Raw genomic sequence first — 19,036 nt, 5'->3', positions numbered from 1 at the left:
TCTTATTTTCTAACATTAATTAGAGTAGTATCAAATGCATTTAGGTGCTGACCTAAGTGACAAGTGATCTTAAGGGATCAAAAAAACTGTTGACAGGTAAAAGAAAGAGATAACAATTTAAATTAGTGGCTAATCTCATACACCCTAAAATTATCTTGCTCACAATCAGTAGTGACTGCCACCACTTCAGCTCTCACCACATGCTGAGGAACACTCACCAGAACATGATATTGGAGTCTTTAGAGGAGAAAACTCTTATTTGGAGGCTACCAGGAAAACATGGTTTCAAGACGATGTTCTCAGCAATTGGAGTTACTTATCACCTACCTAAAAAGCAGCTGGGCCAGGCGCGGTGGCTCACGCCTGTAATCTCAGCACTTTGGAAGTGTGAAGGGGGCAGATTGCCTGAGGTCAGCAGTTCGAGACCCACCTGGCTAACATGGTGAAACCCCGTCTCTACTAAAAATACAAAAAATAGCTGGGCATTTGTGGCGCATACCTGTAGTCCCAGCTATTTGGGATGCTGAGGCAGGAGAATCATTTGAGCCTGGGAGGCAGAGGTTGCAATGAGCTGAGATCATGCCACTGAACTCCAGCCAGGGTGACAGAGCTAGACTCTGTCTCAAAAAAAAAAAAAAAGCAACTGAAGCTGATAACGACCTAATCATGGCCTGAAGAGGACAATAGACCTTCTAACACTAAATAGAATTGTGTTTCATAAATTGGCTAAGGATCCAAAAAGACATTAATGAGCATGGGGTAGAAGTTTCCTTGCTTTTCCATAGATAGATAGATAGATCGATAAACATTGTATATGTAGATATATATGAAAATTAACAGAGCCTTTTTGTAGCTGTTTATAACTATAGAACTTACCTATATTTTTAAAATTTTAATAATTATGGATTTTTAAATAATTAAAATAATAAAGCTTAAAATATAACTGTAAGCATATTATAAAAGACCAATACACTGAGAAGGATATTTAAAAATATATTACTTACTAGTGAGCTGCAAGAATAGTGGTATGAATGCTTTATCTTCTAATTTTATATTGCACAAGAAAAGTAAGAACTAATGACAAATTTTTAGACCACATCATATTCTGTTTGTGTTAATATCAGAGTAACATTTTCAAAGGTAGGAAAACATAAACCATATTGTGAAATAATCTATAAAAGTCTCCAGCATGATGTCTGGTTCTTACAAGGGAGCCAATAAATATTAGTGTCTTTTCATCTATTAAAATCTCAGGAGTAGGAAGCCTTGTAGAGGATAGAAAATGGAATTGATGACTATCACTGATAAAATAGTTTCACCATTTAAAAAAGTGTAAGAAAGACTGATAGAAAAATACTATAACTTTTTTGAAGTTTAACCTAGGTTAGATCTACAATAATGAAAGGAGAAACTGGTTTCAGTGTGAAATAAACAGTGGCGGTGCTGCGAATGAAACTGAATTCACCTTTTAGGTAGGTTCTCTAGAGGAATCATTTTGTTCATGCCAGACTTACACAAAGAAAGTTTTTTCAACCATATTTTGCTATTTGGCATGACAGTTGTTTTCTATCTTTGTTTATAAAGCCAGCATATTTTGACTTGCATATGTAGCAGTGCCTAATAAATATCTGTGGGAGAAATGAAAGAAAATTAGGCAACATGGGAGGCTTAGTAGGTACAGACAGCTTTCTTTATATGAGGCCAGAATTATAGCATCAGGAGGAATTTGTGTTGTAAATTTCCCCTCAATATATCAGAGGGAAGAAATGCATGATGTTTTGAAGAGTCATTTTTTTACTACATAAGAGAAGCTCTTAGCAAAACCATATGCTCCATGGGTTGCCGTTCTTCTCTCTGCTGGAATCTCTCTTTACTTTTTGGTACCATTCCTTCTAGCTCCAATTCAGTGCCCTAGTCAGTGTAATCTAAACATGGCTTAGTCTGATATGGACTAAGCTGTCTACCAGAACAATCTACTCTTTTGCAGGCCCCCTTTCTCACTAGTCTGTATCCCCATAGCCTAGCAAAGTACCTGGTGCACCCTACTAATCTTTGCTAGGAATTGAACTGCTATGTGTCCCCCAAAAAACTTGCATTTCATTAGAGAACTTAAAAGATTTAAAATAATGCATCACTAACATAAAAAAATTATGTGTTTAGTAAGAGATTTTGATAAGATGATTTTCCCAATACCTTTCAAATAGTTTTCATGAAATTTTGCTACTTCCATTTATTGATGTCCTCAACTTACTATTTCTGCTTAAACTTTAAATTTCACTGCCTATTTGAAACCAATTGAACTAATCGATTGTACCCAGCCTGGTTCTGCTAACCTGTACTTGTGGTGTCTTCAGAATACCACATCTGTCAGTGCTCAGACCATCTTGGAGGTAGAGATAATTACATATTCCAAAGCATTTCCCATGGGGAAATACAGCCTGCCATAGAATGAAGAAAGGTAGCTTGCTGGAGAATGAGCCAGTTAGATTCAGCAGGATGGGTATACTTTGGGATAAATAAATCTTGATAAATTGGCTCCATCTGAAGTTCTCTTTCTCAAAGTATAAAAAAAATTTATGATTGCTTTTAAATAAATAAATGATTGGCAGACAGGGAGTAAGTAGCAATTTTGAATTACCCTTAAAGAATCATAACATTATTAATTCAGTATCTTACTGTATGTTCGTAAGCTACAAAGTGTGCATTTTTCCTCATGTGGCTTTTCAAAACTATTGTATTTATGTTTTACAACTGACATTTTACTTGCTGTTTTAATGATGTTTGTTAAAGCTTGATGCTCTTGGAAATGCATGGCTAACCACGGTGCATCACTATCATCTTTTCTGTTGCCAGTGGCTAAATAATAATAACAATTAAAAGTGGCTTAAGCAGAAAAAGAGTGGATTGATGGTTTCATGTAACTGAAAATTTTTGGAGTAGCTCAGGCATAAATACTCAGTGATGCCACCCAAGGTACCTTGTTTGCTTCTGTTTTGTTTCTTTGTTTTTTTTTCTCTCTTTCCTCTGTGTTGGCTTTATTCTCAGAAAGCGTCTCTTCTTGTGATCAGAGAATAGCTATACAGCACGTTCAGCCTCAGACTTTCTCAAACTCAAGGTCAGGGAGCAAGACATTTTTTTCTTGTAGCCCCTGTAATTTCCCCCTGGAACTAATCTGGGTCTTCAGCCCAAACCTGAACCAGTCACTTTATTTCTATCTAGACAGGTAGATTAGGAAGGTTGTCGGGTGGAAGAAAGAGGGCGAGAGAGAGAGAAACTGATTTCCCTGAAAACAAGAACTGTTCTTAATCATCATTCTTTAAAAAAAATTTATTCCTAGAGTTTGGTACAATGCTAGGCTCATAGTATCTATTCAGTACATATAAATTGAGTTAATGTTCAATTATTTACTGATTCAGTTCCCACATTATTTTCTCTTTACTATCTTACGTGATTATCTTCTGCCTCAGCCTCCCGAGTAGCTGGGACCACCACGCCCGGCTAATTTTGTTTTTGTATTTTTAGTAGAGACGGGGTTTCACCGTGTTAGCCAGGATAGTCTCGATCTCCTGACCTCGTGATCTGCCCGCCTTGGCCTCCCAAAGTGCTAGGATTACAGGCGTGAGCCACTGTGCCCGGCCTGACAATCTTAAAGTTTCTTCAGCTTTCACATGTCTTATTTAGCTCTACTTTCACTTAACTTTTCTTTGCATGCTATTCTCTTTGTATCATAGCTTCTTCTTTTCTCATAGATATTTGCTTTTTCTTAGAGTGGCTACAGTTTCTAGTATCATAAGAAGTTTTCTAATATGTTGTCTGAGAAGAAAGGGGTGAGGGGGAGGAACAACGGAACAGGAGAAGAATGTATTCAGGATTTATAACGGTTCTATATGTTCCATGTTTATTAGGGTCTTCAATCCTAAGAGCAAATATGTGAGAGCAATTATTATCCCCATTTTACAGTTGAGAAAACTGAGACACAGAATGATATGTTACTTGTCCAAGTTTTCAGTTAGGATTAGTTGAGCTATTCCAGGAAATCAATTATATTGGTAAGTTTGTTTATCTGTTTTGGAGACAAAGGCATAATATACCCTGTCTTTCGTGGTGCTGTTTTTCTTCAGAGATCCCATGTTGTTTATTAGTATATTTTGAATATTAATTTTTCCTCTAAAAAGGGGAAATATATTCAGACTTGTGTTTGCAAAGAAGACTTTGGGGGTTGGTATTTGAATATGGTTAAAAGCCCCTCTCAAATAGACAGCATGAGGACAGGTTAGTATATTTCCTCACTGAACTTTCAGTTATTTCATCTAGCAAGCCTCAAATTCTTTTATTTTATTTTATTTTTTTTGAGACAGAGTCTCACTTTGTCACCCAGGCTGGAGTGCAATGGTGCGATCTCAGCCCACTGCAACCTCCACCACCCTGGGTTCAAGGGATTCTCCTGCCTCAGCATCCTGAGTAGCTGGGATTACAGGCATGCATCAACTTGCTCAGCTAATTTTTTGTACTTTTAGTAGAGACGGGGTTTCACCATGTTGGCCAGGCTGGTCTTGAACTCCTGACCTCAAGCAACCCACCCACCTCTGCCTCCCAAAATGCTGGGATTACAGGTGCGAGCCACCATGCCTGGCCAAGCCTCATACTCTTAATGAGATTTTTTTCCCTGCTTATCCTTTTAGCTATTCTTCTGACATGCCATATTAGAGAGTATATGAAAAACTACAGTTATTTTCATTTACTACTTTCAAAAATTTCCCTTTTCTAGCCCAGTCTGTAGCACCGTATTTATTGGGACTCTGCCACCCAGGGTGCAACATTTCAGAGTTTCAATTTGTGTCATTTTATTGTCTGGAAGTTGCACAGCAGGAGGTGATCATGCAGTTTTGTGGTTGGAGTAGACCCTGGCTCTCTGAGCAAGAAGTTATACATTAATGAGAGGCTTGCTGTATATATATTCCCATATCCTTTCAGCTACAGGATGTCATTATGTTTCATGGGGCAAAACATAGAAGAAAAAACATTTGTCACCTTAATCTATTTATAGTTTCTCTCAACTTATATTTAGTAGAAATTATTCCCAGACAGCATTAATCCGATGTATGATAATATGTAAGTCTTGTGAATTTACCTCTTTTTCTTAATGTAATAGATAATTTTGTGAAAATTTATAAGGCTGTTTGCCAGAAACTGTTTTAAACCAGACTACTCATTCATTAGGTTCATTGATTTTCCTAAATGAGCTATCAGAGCATTATCTTATGTATTTCCCTTATTTACAAGTTATTGGTGAAGGAGAGGAAACTCATTTTTTTCCTTTGATCTCTAACATTATTATTTTACAAACTCAACAATATAAAAATAAAAAAGGAAGTTTTTTAATAGCAGCATCTAAGTACAAGTTAATGATGTTTTTATTTAAAATCAATGTCAATAACTGCTTAATTAAATTTGACATCTCTTTTTAAAGAGAACTGTTTGTTTACTTATTTAATGATTTACTTTGCTTTCAGAAATTGAGAAACACAAGGGCTTCAAACAATTTATTAACCTCATGAATTCAGCAAACTTAGGTACTAAAAGATAGTTGTAGAGTCTGGAAAGCTAAGGTCAAAATACTGGGGATAAATCCATGTTCCACCTTAATCTCTTGTCCTTCATATAAATCACTTCCTTTTGTTAAGCCTCAGGTTTCTCTTCTTTATAATGGGAATAATAACATTTACCCAAGAAAATTGCTGTGAGTATTGATAAATAATAATGTTTTGAAAAAACAAATTCTTTAGAAATACAGTAATTAACCTCTTTAGTAATAATTGTGTAAATGCTTGTTTTTTCCTGCAAATTATCTTGAATGGTATTGTTTGGCGATAGCTCAGATCCTCAAGAGTTAACAACTTTTCTAAGAGAAAAGTCCACCACTACATTTAAAGATGTCACTCCCCCCATCTGTATTTTTTGAACTTTCACATGCAGATTAAAAATAAAAATAGGTCGGCCAGACATGGTGGCTCATACCTGTAATCCCAGCACTTTGGGAGGCCGAGGTGGGCAGATCAGGAGGTCAAGAGATGGAGACCATCCTGACCAACATGGTGAAACCACCTCTCTACTAAAAATACAAAAATTAGCTGGGCATGGTGGCATGCACTTGTAGTCCCAACTACTAGGGAGGCCGAGTCAGGAGAATTACTTGAACCCGGGAAGCGGAGCTTGCAGTGAGCCGAGATTGCGCCACTGCACACCAGCCTGACGACAGAGTGAGACTCTATCTCAAAAAAAAAAAAAAATCAAAATATATAACTTAACATCTCTTTTCGTTTAAATAAAGCCAAGGTTTAAACCTGTTATTTTTGTCTTCCAATCAGAAAAATCTACTTTAATGACTAAATTACAAACTAAGTTGAACAGTTTCATCTCTTCTTTATCAAAGACAAAGCTGCACAATAAAGTTGTGTTCATTATTTCTTTGCTATTTGCTTTCTTCAAAAATTATGCTTTAAAAAATGTTAACATGCATAAATATAACTAACACTCTATTACATAAAATCTAAGATTTAAAATACTCTGGAGAATCCTCTTTATTTAATTCCCTCTTTCACACTAATGTCATATTCCATGTCAGCCAGGATGACTAGCTTGTCAATGTGCTTTATGCATTTGAGCTTCTGAATCAACCCACCTGTCATTTCTTATACCCAAGTGCCCTCCCCTCCTTTCTTAGCCTAATCATATCCATTCAGCTAAAGACACATCTGCTCCGTAAAGCTCTCTAAGCACAATGCCATCTGACTCCAGACAAAAAATAGTGCCATTGCCACCATCTTTCCCAAGACAATGTATTTAAATTTTACACTTAATATTTCACTCCAGTATGAATCAGTTATTTTACCTACTGACATGCATGCATAATCGATCAAATCACAACTATATTCTTTCAAGAAAACTATGAGTAAAATCGCTGATTTGTTATTATACTAAATCATCTTTTGCTTTGCTCCCTTTGAGTCTATAATTTCATCTGTGAAAAAGACACTTAGTAAATATTTACCTTTTCTTCCATTAACCCTCCCCACCTTTCATGAGTGAAAAGACAGTTTTCTTCCTCAGCCATTACAATAATTAAAAAAATATTGTTTTCCTTACATTTGCATAATTATGTTTAGATTTTACAAATGTCTGCTATGTGTATGTCTTCATCTCATGCCCATAAACTATGCTTTGGTGAGGATATTAGACCTCTTTTTAGAGATGAGGAAATTTAGGCTTAATTGGTCTCTGTGACCTGACTAAAATAACACAACTGCTAAGTGGTGGAACAAGGCATTTGGCCTAATTTGTTCTTCAATGTTTGGGAGATAGAATAGATTAATGGTGTCAGAGAACGTTCTAAAATTAGGATGCCTGCGATAGAATCCTGGCTCTCTCACTTACTGGCTGTATCACCTTGAACCGGTGGATTGCCTTTTTGTCTTCATCTGTAAAGAGATGATTCTAAAAGTACCCATCTCCTAGGATTGTTGTTTAGATTCAATCCATTAATATGTGTATGGCCCTTAAAGCTGGCCCTTATTAAGTACTCAGTAAATGCCAGCTGCTAATAATAAGAGAAAGGGAAAAATTAGTGAAACTGAAGGAATAAGTCTTTCACACTAATTTGGTTGAACAAGCCTCATTCAACACAATAATATATTCAGAAGATGACAAGGAAGAAAACACAAAATAGGGGAAATCAACCAGGCAACCAGAAAAGCAATTTTATAGGAGTAGGTTAATTAACAGTATCTACTTGATGCTCACCTACATGACACTGGGCACTAAAATTTATACTATGAATTGGGGCACAAGAGGTGCCAATAGAGCACCGTACTGTACTCCAAGACAGCATCGTTGCCCTGCTGAAATGGAGAAAGGCATGTAATGATCTGATGGCTTCTCTAAGCCTAAAATGGGAAAGTCCAGTTCAACTCCCTTTTAAATGCATTTCCTGAAATGTCCTCAAGCTCAGCTGAGACCTGCTAAGTTCAACAGTTTTTGTCTCTCTTTCCATAGAAAAAAAACTGTAACCAACATGACCTGTAAAATTTATTGATAATTGGTCTTTCTATGCTATTAAACAGCCAAAGACCTGATTCTTTTAAAGGACACAGACAGAGAAGCAGAATCTCAGATCATTCATAATATGGCAAAATTTTGGCTGTGCACTTAAATAAGAAATGCTTATTGTTTGTATAAAAATAATGTTCTTTAATCTGGAATCATTCACAATATCTAAAAAATTATGTGATAGACACAGTGCATATCATCATGGACTGAACTCATAAAATAAATACGAAGGATTGACTTACAATAAAAATCTTTCTCAAATTATTGAGAAAATATTTCTCCTTAGCCAACAAAATTTCTATACTGGCTTTATTTTCAAGAGCTCCTGTCATTTAAAAATAAAACTTAAAATTCTTTTGGTGTATTTAAATGTAATAGTTTTAAGTCACTATGTTTTAAGCAGACAATTCTGAATTTCTATTTTGGGGAAGACTGTCATCATCATACAGGGATAATGAATTTATTGAATTTATCTATATTTAGCAAGGTGTCTATCAATGGTAAGAATTAACAATCAAGCTATTAGGTATAAGCTGTAAGAACTATTATGCATTCATTTATTTTATTATACTTTCAAAATCCTATGCTTGTATCATTTTAGATAACCAGAAAATACATTTAGACTTTCTTAGTCAAGCTCACTGGTCACCTTATAAAGTTTTTGTACTTTTTTCTTTGGCTTTTCACAATACTTTGTAGGAAAGAAAAGATGGACAAGCTTTCATCTTCTGAGAAATATTTGTCAAATTTCTGTTAGTATATAATTTCAAAAAAGTGTCTATTCACTAGAATTTGGCATTTCTTTTTATCTACAGTAAAAAACGAATAAATGACCATTATTTCATTTTTGCTTTGATTCCCACCATGTTCAACACAAAATTGAATATTCAAATGTAATCATCATTTTATTCAAGCTGTTGGAAGAATTATCTCTCTTTTTTCTCCTCCACTTAATTTTACAAGCACAAAGGCCTGTGTGTCCTTGTATTAAGTAAGGGTTTGTTTCTAAAAGCAGTTGATTTATAAGTTACCTAAAATCATTTGTACAGTTGGCATGGTGAAAATTAAAATAAACAAATAAGTAAAGAGCAGTAAGGATAAATATAGTTCTGAGATCATACAGATTATAAACACCAAGAAAACAACAAAAATACACATATTTGTGACAAAAATAATTGGGAAAACTGAGTTGCTAAGTGAGAGATATTTAGAGATTGCAAATATAAATGAACCAACGACTTAACTTTCCTAAAATTGCAAATATAAGTGAACTAATGACTTCTTTCTCCCTTTCTCCTCCCTCCTTCTCTCTCTTCTTTCTTTCTCATTCTTTCTTTCTTTTTCTTTCTTCTTTCTTTCTTTACTTTCTTTTTCTCTTTCTTTTTCTTTCTTTCATCTTCTGTCTTCTTTTTTTCTCCTTCCTGTCCTTCCTTCCTTCTCTCCCTCCTTCCCTCCTTTCTCTTTCTCTTTCTTTCTTTCTCTCTTTCTTTCCTTCCTTCCTTCCTTTCTTTCTTCCTTTCTCTCTTCTTTCTTTTTCTTCTCTTTCCCATCCTTCCTTCCTTCTTTCCTCCCTCCCTCCTTCCTTTCTTTCTTTTTCTGTCTTTCTCTCTCTTTCCTTCCTCTTTCTTTTTTTCTTCTTTCTTTTTCTCCCTCTTTATCCCTCCCTCTCTTTCTTTTTCTGTCTTCTTTCTTTTTCTTCTCCCTCCCTTCCTTCCCTCCCTCCCTTCCTTCTTTCTTTCTTAACTTTTCTTTCTGTCTTTCTTTCTCTCTCTCCTTCCTTCCTTTCTCTTTCTTTCTTTCTTCTCCTTCCCATCCTTCCTTCCTTCCCTCCCTCCCTCCTTCCTTTCTTTCTTTCTCTCTTTCTTTTTCTTTATTTCTTGTCCTTCTCTCTTTCCTTCCTTTCTCTTTCTCTTTCTGTCTCTGTCTTCTTTTTCTTCTCCTTCCCTTCCTTCCTTCCTTCCCTCCCTCCCTCTTTTCTTTTCTTCTTTCTTTCTTTCTCTCCCTCTCTCTTTCCTTCCTTCCTTCCTTCCTTCCTTCCTTCCTTCCTTCCTTCCTTCTTTCCTTTCCTCCCTCCCTCCCTCCCTCTCTCTCCCCCTTTCTTTCTTTCTCTCTCTCTCTGTCTCTCTCTTTTCTTTCTTTATTGCTTTCACTATATGGCCCAGTCTGGAGAGCAGTGGCATGATCACAGCTCATTGCAGCCTCAACCTACCAAGGTTAAGCAACCATCTCAGCTCAACCTCCCGAGTAGCTGGGACTACAGGCGTGTGCTATCACACCCTGCTATTTTTAAAAAATTTTTTGTAGAGGCCAGCTGTGTTGGCTCACGCCTGTAATCCCAGCACTTTGGGAGGCAGAGGTGGGTGGATCATGAGGTGGAGATCAAGACCATCCTGGCCAACACGGGGAAACCCCATCTCTACTAAAAATACAAAAATTAGCTAAGCGTGGTGGCGCGTGCCTGTAGTCCCAGCTACTCGGGAGGCTGAGGCAGGATAATGGCGTGAACCCGGGAGGCGGAGGTTGCAGTGAGCTAAGATCACACCACTGCACTCCAGCCTGGGCAACAGAGGGAGACTCCACCTAAAACAAAACAAAACAAAACAAAACAAAACAAAACAAAAATTGTAGAAATGGGGTCTCACTGTGTTGCCTACACTGGTCTTAAACTCCCAGCCTTAAGTGATACTCCACCTCTACCTCACAAAGTACTGGGATTACAGGCCTGAGCCACTGTATCTGCCCTAACTTTTCTGAAATAGTAGTCATTGCCATGGAAATTTATAAAAATAGTTGTAATGAAATTATTGTTTTTTGCTTTATCCAAACATATATTTGAAGATTTTCAACATTTCCTGAGTGATTTTTTCTCCCCCATCCTATAGCCAATACTCACCATAAACAAAGAGTCAGTGACTAGCTGAAACAAGGTCTTTGTCTCAAAGATAGCTCTCAGAAAAGTGAAAAGCCAAACTTTTTACTAGATGGATCCATTAATATATGATGCCTTATGATGGCCCATGTTATCATAGCTTTAAAACCAGTATCAATTAATTTAGAGAATCCAAAATAAATGCTGCTGTGTTTTAGGGAGCCAAAGAATAGCTATAGCCAACTTTTATGACTTTATTCTTTCTACTCATAGATTAAAGTCACATTGTATTCAACTTCAGAATAATAAATTACACAAATGAAAAGATGTGATTTATAATATACTTTTAATGTATATGTAGTATACCTTTATCAATCATCTAAATAAACCATATTATTAAAGAACTGTTTGAATGCAAACAAAGCATTTTCCTATTCTGGTTTTTTATACCACAAAAAGTTTGTAAAATACCTCAACCATAAATACAGGCATAATATAGTACAACAGAGAGACTTTAAATATTGATTGTTTGGTATTTGGAGGTATTTGCTTCATAATAATTCAATAATGACATACTAAAAACTCAGAAACAAAGGAAAGAGAACTCTAATGAATTTAAGAATAAATTGTACCAATCAGTGAAGCTCTTTGTAAGCTCTGCAGTTTTTTGTTTTGTTTTGTTTTGTTTTGTTTTGTTTTTGAGATGGAGTCTCGCTCTGTCGCCAGGCTGGAGTGCAGTGGCGCGATCTCAGCTCACTGCAACCTCCGCCTCACAAGTTCGAGCAATTCTCCTGCCTCCAGCCTCCGGAGTAGCTGGGACTACAGGCACGTGCCACAACGCGCAGCTAATTTTTTGTAATTTTGGTAGAGACAGGGTTTCCCCATGTTGGCCAGGATGGTCTCAATCTCTTGACCTCGTGATCTGCCCGCCTCGGCCTCCCAAATTGCTGGGATTACAGGCTTGAGCCACTGCATCCGGCCAGCTCTGCAGTTTTTAATACGCTATGTCATTTAGCACAAGGAAGAGTAAACTATGACTTGTGGGCCAAATATGACCTACCTTCTGATATTGTAAATAAAGTTTTATTAGAACATAGATGTGCCAGTTTGTTGATGTTTCTATCCATGGCTGCTTTCTCACTACAACAGCAGAATCGGATAGCTGTGACAGACACAGAAGGCCCTCAGAGCCTAAACTAGTTAATACCTTTCCCTTTACAGAAAATGTTTTCTGACTCCTGATTTAGAGGATGTTGGGAATGGAGGCTTTATTTCTTGCAATGACAACTGCTTTGGGAATTTTTTTTCTTGACGGGCGCGGTGGTTCACACCTGCAATCCCAGCACTTTGGGAGGCCGAGGCGGGCAGATCACGAGGTCAGGAGATCGAGACCGTCCTGGCTAACACGGTGAAACCCTGTCTCTACTAAAAACACAAACACAAAATCAGCCGAGCGTGATGGCAGGCGCCTGTAGTCCCAGCTACTTGGGAGGTTGAGGCAGGAGAATGGCGTGAACCCGGGAGTCGGAGCTTGCTGTGAGCCAAGATCGCGCCACTGCACTCTAGCCTGGGCGACAGAGCGAGACTCTGTCAAAAAAAAAAAAAAAGTCCTTAAATACCAATAATAGAGGAATTCAGTCATTGCCCTTCTATTTAGCAAACATCTTTTAAATGAGAAGACAAACTATTTCAGCTCCATATAATAGGATGGTTTCTTGCCAGTTTTTATCATATACCCGACACTACACAAGTAAGATTATGTGGATTAATTCTCACAGCAATGCTTACAGACGGATAATATTTTGTAGAATTATTGTATTGATGGCTCCAAATAATGGGCTCTTATCAGTCCTCTCCATGCTGTAACTTTGCAGTCTCCATTCACTTTGACTTTGGGCTAGTCTTATGAATTGCTTTGGCAAAGTAACATTGTGCCTATTCTGAGCCTAGGTCTCATGCTTTTTGAGCCCTGCCACTGTCAGGAGGACAAACCCAGGCTAGTCTGAGAGACCATGTGCATCAGAACTGAATAACTCAACCAAAGCTATTCTATAACTGCTAGTTCTCAACTAATCTACCAGATGAGTATATTTGTCTGAATAAGCCAATTTGAGGTTAGTCAAGTCCAGCCTAAAACATCAGACCAACCCAGACCACCCACAGAGGTGAAAAATAGTAAATGATGATTGTTTTACACTGTCGCACTTTTGGGTGGTTTGTTAAACACCAAAAGCTAACTAATACAATATTGTTTTATATTTCATTTTACAGGTAACTAAACTGAGGCAGCATTAGGTTAACTAATTTCATTGAGAATGCATAGCTAGTAAGTCAATTAGTAACTAATCATATTAATATAATAAATTAATATAAATAAAATATTAATAAAAGTGTATAAGAATAAACTTATTATAACTAATAAGACAAGATTAGTAACTAGAAATCAAACCATTACATTTAGGGTAAGTCCAATAGAAAAGCATCTTGACCTACAATGCAGTTTCTTTGTAATTTGTGATTGCTTTCTGGAATAGCTCAGAGAAAAAGAGGAATTCTGTCTGATTAAAAAACCTCAGTTGGGACAGGCTAAGGACCAAAACACAAGGGCCAAGATTCTGAGAGCTCCAAGCAGTCTACGCTATCTCAAAACTCCCTCCAATTTCGATTTTGTAACCAGAAGTAGAAAAATAGAAAAAGGCAGAAGGGTAGTTTATGATGTTTCCCTTTTGATGGATTACCTGCTATCTGGTACAGCGACTGAGAGAGACCACAAGGTTACAGGGAACATAAACTGAAGCAGAACACCAGCATTTCCAGAATTCTACACAGGTTCTGTAGCTTTGATACATGACTGCCCTGCCCAAGGCCGTCAATTCTCTGTGCGGCACCATGCCGAGTGGAATATGCAATTTGTATGATTATAGTTATCGTGATTGCATCAAGCTGAACCACATTTTCAGCTCTGTGAACTAGAGGGAGGAGAGGCACCAGAGGGACTTGGATTCAGACTAACAAAGAAACGGGAAGGGCAGACGGGAGAGATGTGGACATTTCTTTTACTCCCTTTTCTGCTTGTTACCTTTTGTTCAACCCTGGAATGCATATCTGGGTTCTAATTAGACAGATTCTGATTCAATGGCAAGTAGGGCCAAAGTGTCTGCATTTTTATAAGCACCCCTCGGTAATCTTTAGGAAAATTTTTAGATGGTACAAAACTGGATACATTATAGTTGGTTCCTTATGAGATTTAAGTACCCCATAAGCATCTCTCTTTTCTCTGATAAGCCTGATGTACTGCTGTTGGTTAAGCCTTTGGATTTTGTTAGATGATTGAATGTAAACTCCTTGAGTGACAGGACTTTGGTTCCTCTGCCCCTAGAAGAGTGCTTAGCATGAAGTAGGCATCAATCAATAAATACAAGTTTAATGCATGAGGTTATGCATACTCCGAGTCGACTTTATCACTGAACATTAGATTCTATTGGACATCAGCTTCTCTTGGTGGCATCTATTTTGGGAGTTGGAGGCAAAGCATATTCTGTAATGTAGTGATAAGTGCATAAAGAATGCTAAAATCTTAACCTAAAGCTTCTCATTCATTTGCTCTATGGTCCTGGACAATAACTTTTAAAAATGTAGTATAGATATATTTCAAGGTGTGTATCTCCTAGAGCTAAATAAAACCTGTGCTCCTCTCCTGAGACCACAACTCCTGTTGACAGCTGCTTTATTGGCATATCTTCCCCTTTGACCAGGGTCAAATTTTCTCTTTGGGCATGAGCTCTAGATAGATCAAAAGAATCTGTGCTCTGTGAATTTCCGAAATTTCCTGTTCTATAAGAAGAATAACAACTGGTAAGATGGAGGTTGCAATTACATTTTGGAAAACAAATAAAAGTCTCTGAATTGATAAAAATCAAAGAACATTCCAAACAGTTCAACTTTTGACTTGTGCTGATTCAGTTTAAGCACTCTATCCTTGGTATGAGAATATTCTTTCCTGAGCCACTGACTCTAGCATGTCTTAGCTTTTAAATTTTTATATATAATATTTAGGGAGCCACATCGAGGACTATATAGGGAGTATATAAATGTATCTATATATCTATATTTATACCTATCTTTCTGTCTGTACATATATACATATAAACCCACACATACACAGACACCATAATGAAGATGTCAACAAAGTCTGTGACTTTGAGACTATGTCACTTGAAAACATTTATTATAAAAAATCTCCAAAAATTCAAATGAAATAAACCTCTGAAAGCATAATAACGTTAGGTAACTTGATAATATATCATTTGCATTTATTTTTCCGGACCATTGAACAGAAACTAGTTCATTTCAAAGATTAAATTTTCTTAATTAGATAGATGAAGTCAAAGGTCAAAATGTAGTTAGAGTATTGACATTATTAATATGCTAGATATTTGTACTATGAGCTTAAAGAAACATTCTCTACTTGGGAGGCTGAGGTAGGGAGACCCCTGAGGCTGAGAATTCAAGACCAGCCTGGGCAATATAGCCAGACCCCCCTTCTGAAAAAAAGTTTTTTTTCAATAAGCCAGGCATGGTGCCACATGCCTGTAGTTCCAACAGAAAGATCACTTGAGCCCTGGAGTTTGAGGCTGCAGTGAGCTATGATCATGCCATAGTACTCCAGCCTGGGAAACAGTATGAGACTGCCTCTAAACTTTTTTTTTAATTTTCTTTAATTTTTTTTAATTAATTAATTTTTTAATTATTATTATACTTTAAGTTTTAGGGTACATGTGCACAATGTGCAGGTTAGTTACATATGTATACATGTGCCATGCTGGTGTGCTGCACCCACTAACTCGTCATCTAGCATCCAAAGAATCACAGCATAGTCAATTACATCAAAATTGAAAGCTTTGTCCCCAGTGCCCAGAAGTGGTATAATGTAAATTTTAATTTGTTTCTTTTGTTAATATATCAAATTGCAAGTGATTCATAGAAAACATTTTGAAGGAAGAGAGTAGGGTCTTGAGCTTTCTTAAAAAGTGAATTTTAGTTGACTCTAACATAGAGGCATCTTGGAGGGTAAATACTATTTTGCCCCAGTTATAATTGTGTTTGAATGAAATGCTGGAGAAAGCGTAGTGACATTATTCTTTCATTAGTTTTGTTTTTGCTTTTCGATATTTTGTTTATTTTGCTAAATACTAGTTCCTAGAAAAGTACAAAAGTCGGTAATGGTTCTAATATTAGGAGACTTCAGTCTGCTCTTAGCTGAGATTATCTGAGACATATGTGCTTCTCTGTGCATGATCAAGACTAAGGAGTTATTTAATCCCTATCAAGTATCAGACACTGCTCTAGGTTCTGGGACATAGCAACAAGCAAAAGGAAGTTCCAAATGTCATGGAACTCACATTGTAATTGGCAATGATAGACAATAAATGGTTATGCAGTATTTCCAATGATGACAAATGCTGTGGGAAAAAAAAAAAGCTAGGAAAAAATGGTTAAGGGATGGAGAGTGATGCAAAGGGTGCCATTTTATAAAGATTAGGTAGGAGCAACACGCAAATAAGGGACATTCTAACAAAGACTTGATTGGAGAGTGTGAGCCAAGTAAATGTCTCCAGGAAGAGCTTCACAAGCAGAAGCTATGTAGGTGCAGAGGCAGTGAATGGAAGCATACTTGGTTTCACCACCAAAAAGTCAGGGCTGATGGAGTGAACTTTGAGAAGGAAAGAATGGTGAGGTATAAATTCAATCAAGTTAGCCAGAGGTCATATAATATGGGTTCCACACAATCATAGTATTCTGAGTGAGATGAAAAGTTGTTCGAGGTTTTTGAGCTTAAATGACATAGTCTGTTTCATTTCAATAGAATCATTCTGGCTACTATGTGGACAAAAACTGTAGCAGGTAAAGAACAGGAGCCAAGAAGCCAGTATGGAGCCAAAGAGCAGGCCAAGTGAGGGATGATGACTCACTCACTGGCTAGCTGAGTGGTTCTTGGGTATGTAGAAATCTTCATTTCTTCTGAATGTTTTGACTTAGAAGCTTCCATCTGTGACATAAATGGATAATGACTCACTCACTGGCTAGCTCATTAGTTCTTGGGTATGTAGAAATCTTCATTTCTTTTGAATGTTTTGACTTGCAAGCTTCCATCTGTGACATAAACGAAAGTCTCATTTGATTACCATCCAAAGCAACTATGAGCAAAGCTACCATCTCTGGCTTGAAGTTATCTCCAAGTTATTGTCTATGATGAAGAACAGCATTACCAGAATGACAAAAAGCAAATTTTTGATTTTATTTTCATCTTTTAGCCTTATTGAATAGATGTTTATAGGAAAGAGTATTAGTATTTAAAAGATTTATATTAATGTCTATTATACCTACTTAGGTCCGTGATTGAATTTTATTCTTATCTTGTAGAGAAAAGAGAGTAAAGGATCTTAGATGACGGACTTGGAATTGTTGAATCTTTTCCCTGCAGAAGGCAGTGTTTCTTGTATGTGAGGGTCAGGTGTGTCCTGGAAACAAATGCAAAAAGAAGACTTAACCTTCAAGAAAATTCATGTCTAATTTTGGATCTCTCAGAGCAGCATTAAAAAAAAATGAAAACAAAGAGTGGAAAAAGGGAGATTAGATAGTAGAATAGATTGTTGCATCCTGGATTTTCATTCTTTTCTTTTATCTCTGCAGCCTTGAGGATTTATTGGCACCCATTTCATTTGTCTTTCTCTGGATTTAACATTGAGGTGATGAGATGGAATATTACCTGTATGCTTCGGAACATCTATGAGTGACATGTAATAGTTGCCTGGGAAACTAGAGATGAAATTCTACAGGTCTTTGAAATGCTTTACATTTGAGAATGAAGCTCAGCTGAAGTTTGAACAGCATACTGACAGTGAGCGTTGATCCCACATTTATCTGTTAAGATATTTGAGCTTCAGATAACAGAAAAACCCCCACTCAAAGTGGCTTAACAAATAAAAAAAGTTATTATCCAATATAACTGGAAGTCCAGAGGCAGAGTGGGCTCCTGGTGTGTTGTAATGAGAGGCCCAATGTAATGAAGGACTCAGGTCCTCTGCTTTCCTCAGAATTAGCTACCTCCTAAGCCTGGTTGTCCAGTGGTTTCAGGATGGCTGTCAGTGACCATCACAGTGGCATTAATTCCTATTTGCTACTGGCAGAAAAGGAAAGGGGAAATTTCTCCTTCAAACATAGAAAATATTTCTTCTCTTCAATCTGATTGGGAAACTTAATTCACATGTCCACGTCCAGACTAGGGGATGTCATTTGCTGACTGGCTTAAAACTAATCAAAATTCTTCTTGAGAGCTAGATATACTGTGAATCTCTGGATTAATGGGCCTCTCTTGGGAGGAAGAAAGAGGAAAATGGGCGTTAGGTGTCGTCTATATCATACAATGGAGAGGCATGGGTTAACAGCAAACTGTACACTGGGAAAAATGTGAAAAAAAAAATGAAATCTTCCTCCAAGTTTCATTATGCTATTCCTTGCCCTCAAATCGTGGACATGTGCTTTCTCCATTAAGGATAAAAATGGGAAAGAAAGGGAAGAAATTCTGGTGATTCCAAGTTTTGGTTTTTTTTCACAGTATTTTGAGGCTCTCCATTAAGGCACTTAGAAATAGTAATTTTAGGCCGGGCGCGGTGGCTCACGCCTGTAATCCCAGCACTTTGGGAGGCCGAGGCGGGCGGATCACGAGGTCAGGAGATCGAGACCATCCCGGCTAAAACGGTGAAACCCCGTCTCTACTAAAAATACAAAAAATTAGCCGGGCGTGGTGGCGGGCGCCTGTAGTCCCAGCTACTTGGGAGGCTGAGGCAGGAGAATGGCGTGAACCCGGGAGGCGGAGCTTGCAGTGAGCCGAGATCCCGCCACTGCACTCCAGCCTGGGCGACAGAGCAAGACTCCGTCTCAAAAAAAAAAAAAAAAAAAAAAAAAGAAATAGTAATTTTAAAACAAAAGTGATTCTATTGCCTTTGCTGAGCATCCAGAAGTTAAGATCAATGAATACTTGTGATGTTGTAACAGTAA

At 37.2% G+C, this 19,036-nt stretch overlaps 1 long non-coding RNA gene across 1 annotated transcript in view; it reads left to right on the top strand.

Moving 5' to 3' along the window:
- Positions 1-19,036, top strand: part of LOC101929485 (uncharacterized) — a 254,397-nt gene that overhangs the window by 186,732 nt on the left and 48,629 nt on the right. The window contains exons 6-7 of the long non-coding RNA XR_007095992.1: positions 16,842-16,973; positions 17,669-17,876. This is a non-coding gene — a long non-coding RNA (uncharacterized LOC101929485). The remainder of the gene's footprint in view (positions 1-16,841; positions 16,974-17,668; positions 17,877-19,036) is intronic.

Source organism: Homo sapiens, chromosome 3 (genome assembly GCF_000001405.40).
Source record: "Homo sapiens chromosome 3, GRCh38.p14 Primary Assembly".
Classification (NCBI taxonomy): domain Eukaryota; kingdom Metazoa; phylum Chordata; class Mammalia; order Primates; family Hominidae; genus Homo; species Homo sapiens.
The sequence above is the reverse complement of the archived record's forward strand: the minus strand, read 5'-3'. Positions and strand labels throughout refer to the sequence as shown.